Source organism: Homo sapiens, chromosome 2, assembly GCF_000001405.40.
Source record: "Homo sapiens chromosome 2, GRCh38.p14 Primary Assembly".
Classification (NCBI taxonomy): Eukaryota; Metazoa; Chordata; class Mammalia; order Primates; family Hominidae; genus Homo; species Homo sapiens.
Window position 1 is genome coordinate 163,985,066 of NC_000002.12, and position 3,571 is coordinate 163,988,636.

The window sequence follows — 3,571 nt, forward strand, 5'->3', positions numbered from 1 at the left end:
TAGAAAGTTTCCGATAAACACCTCAGCATTTTGTTTCCTGCCTTTCTTTCTTTAATGTGTATCCACGAGTTCATTCAGTGCACATGTATTGTGATCCCATGGAGTGGGAGGAGTAGGGAGCTTTTGTTATGAGTGTAACAGGAGAGTCAGACAGCTATAGCACAACCCCTGCCTCTGCTGCCGGCTGGCTACATTACTTTGAGCAAGTTGCTTCAATTCTCTAGGCCTCAATTTTCCCATCTGTAAAATCAAGATAAAAATAGTATCTGCATGATGGGGCTATTGTGTAATTATACTATACTGTATATTATTGTGTACAACAGTATAATACTATAATAGTATAGTAATACTATTATACAATTATACAAGTATTCTATAATACTTGTACTCAGAGTAGTGATGATTAATACTGATAGTTTAATTATTATGTTAATTGGGTACACACTTCTTTTACTGTCATCAATAACTATATATCAACTTAAAGGTTCATATTTAGAGACTTAGAAATCTTGGGTGGCCTTCACAGCATGGTGGTTTCTTAAAAGTATAGCATTAATATTTTCCAAGAGATATTTTTTATTTTAAACCTGATATGCTAATCCATAACGTTTAGGTTTGGTTTTTTTTTTTTTTTTGAGATGGAGTCTTGCTCTGTCGCCCAGGCTGGAGTGCAGTGGCACAGTCTTGGCTCACTGCAAGCTCCGCCTCCCGGGTTCACGCCATTCTCCTGCCTCAACCTCCCGAGTTAGTTGGGACTACAGGCGCCAGCCACCACTCCCGGCTAATTTTTTTGTATTTTTAGTTGACACGGGGTTTCACCGTGTTAGCCAGGATGGTCTTGATCAATGTTTAGGTTTTAAAATATGACTTACATTGAATATGTTTTAGATTTAAAAATATACATTATACTTCTTATGCAAAGTAGTTAGTGGTTAAATCCAGAGGTTTGGGCCAAAAGGGCACTGCTTTAGTACATCCTAACTGGATAAAATAATAGAAAGTAATATGGCTTTGTGATAAATATTATTAATGCTTACATTTGATTTTTTAATTTAATGAAGTAATTAAATATTATAGATTTTAATAAAGAATGGCTAATTTTGTCCAAGAAAGATCATCTTATTTTATTTACTTCCTTTTCTTAGACATAACCTTTTAGAACTTTAGTATGTTACTCAAAGCTATAAGAACAATGCATTGTGAAACTGAGACTTTTTCTGGAATAATGAATAGCCCTTCTGGTAGCTATTCATGTAGCAGTGGTGGAAATCCTATTGTTGGAGAAGTTTTAGGGCCCCAGGATATTATGTTCTGAGAGTTGATGGGTGTTGGGTAAAGGGAAGGATAAGGAGGAAGGAAGATGATAAAAAAAAATCTGCCACAAAAGTGAGGCATCTATATCACAGATTCAGAGATCAAACATCTGAATTATCTGTCCAACTTTGCAGTTGGTTTTCTATGTCAAATCAATAGCTCCTCCTGTCTCTCAGTAAACACAGCTTCTGTACCCTCACTATACCCTTCTTGCGGCTTGCGGCTGTTTGTCATTTTGGAGCCATTTCTCGACAAGACAGCCAATGCTGATGAATCTGCCTTAGTTTTCCTGGAAAATGCAAAAGAGTTATATGCTCCATGTATTAAGACTCAGAAACCTAACAGGTGCCTTACAATAGCAAGAAAGAGGCTTGGAGAGAAATGTAAAGGTGGCATTGCCATGACACATGGATATTGGACTGTTTGGTTGAATTTTATGTTCTACCTGCTTTTTCAAAGCATTGCTTTCCCAAATCCCTAATCTTTCATTTGTTAGGAAGATATCCAGAAGTTTTCATTTCATAATAGGGAAAAGTTTTTTTTCTCTGCCTATTTTCATGACAAATTTACTAAGCCCCTTCATCAGTCTTTACTGAGTTTTCTGGTGGCAATTTTCATTGTCTAAAAAACAGGCAGCCTTTGAAAGCTGCTTCTTGCAGCAGATTCTGCACTTCCTCGTATAGTTTCACAGAATCTCCTTTCTGAGAGGTCCTAAGGCTTTGCATCCAGGGGCAAATCAGCTCAGCTCAGCCCAACACAATGACACCCACCACGAAAAGGGCCAATCAAAGCACTGATCAATACTCATCAAACTGGAAATTGAGTACGCTTTTTTAAAAAAATATAGCATTTAGTTAACCCATCCCTCTCTCTTCCCTATTATACCACAGACACAACATACATGGGTGCATGCAGACACACACACACACACACACACACACACACACACAATGTATTTCTGCTTTTTTTACGACAGTTTAAAAGAAATGCTGTGTCAGTGTTTTGATGCATCCAGGGACTGAATGTAAACAACATGGTACAACTCTGAAAACTGCCATCATAAAATATTTTAAGAGCCAGAATAGAGTAAAATAAAATAAAAATGTCTTTTTATGTGATATCTCAGAGTAATTCAGGATTTATGGTACCTTAACCTTTAGAATCCAAAATATTAAGCTATGTTTCTTAGAGATAATAACTCGGTTGTCCCTCACTTATGTGTCTTAGATAAAAGCCTACTGCCACAGAATCCATGAATGCTCAAATACCCTTGCGGGCCTTTAGTAGTAAATCTTATGGAATAGCTTATGGCCAATGTAATGGCCCACAGTAGCCTGCGAATATCATGAATTCTAATAATACTTACATCAGTAGAAACATGAAGTAATGTCTCCATTGTAATTAAATGATGTATTTAGAGCAGTGGACTAAATGGTCCCCTAGTGTGTTGGTGATATATTCTAATAGTCTTCTCTTTACAGCCCCACACGGTAATATTCATGCTTTATTCTGGAGGGCTTTGCTTCTGACTGAACATTTGAATTGCAACATTAAGTGGTAAAGTGGATTACAGTGAGGCCCCATGAATATGGATCCTGATCAAGAAACTAAGTGCTTAAAAAAATAAAATGTTACTATTTAAATAGAGTGATTACAAAAACATTTTTATACGGAGGAATGTCAGGAGTCTTTGCCGCACTTCTTATTCTATGTTCCCGAAGCAGAACATATTTGCCACAATTAAAAATTTAGTAGGGTGAAACATCAGACCTTAAATCACAGTAATTTCTCCTTCACTTATTGAATTTAATTTGGGCTGTTTGAGGTACAAATTAGTTGTGATAATAATTACATTATTCCATTTTTAAAACATGTTCGTTCCCAAGATTATGGCCAACGATAGAGTATAAATGTAGAAAGGGATAGCCGTCGCCAGGGCCGAAATGAAATTATCCTGCAGTTCATTAGTTAAAAGTGTCACATTTTGAATTTTCATTCTTTATTTTTCCCTTGAATCAGTCACTAAAGCAGTAGCTTGAGGCATTAGGAGCCTACGGCAAAGCTGAGGGCACTTCAGTCTACTCAGTCTAGTGGGTAAGGATAAGTCAAAGAAGAATGTCACGTATTCAGTAATCAAATTAGACAGTGTGCCTATGTATAATGTAAAATTATAATAAAAAAGTCTATATATTCATTCATTTGATAAGATTTATAGTGTTGTGAGATGTTTTCTAGTATTTATTGAATATTACATTTC

The 3,571-nt window shown here is 36.2% G+C and overlaps 1 annotated feature.

Moving 5' to 3' along the window:
* Window positions 2,222-3,208: an enhancer, noted in NCBI's record as "VISTA enhancer hs421". NCBI's record gives its function as "enhancer in: neural tube[3/4] | dorsal root ganglion[3/4]" and the evidence as "EXISTENCE:transgenic organism evidence [ECO:0001131][PMID:17130149]".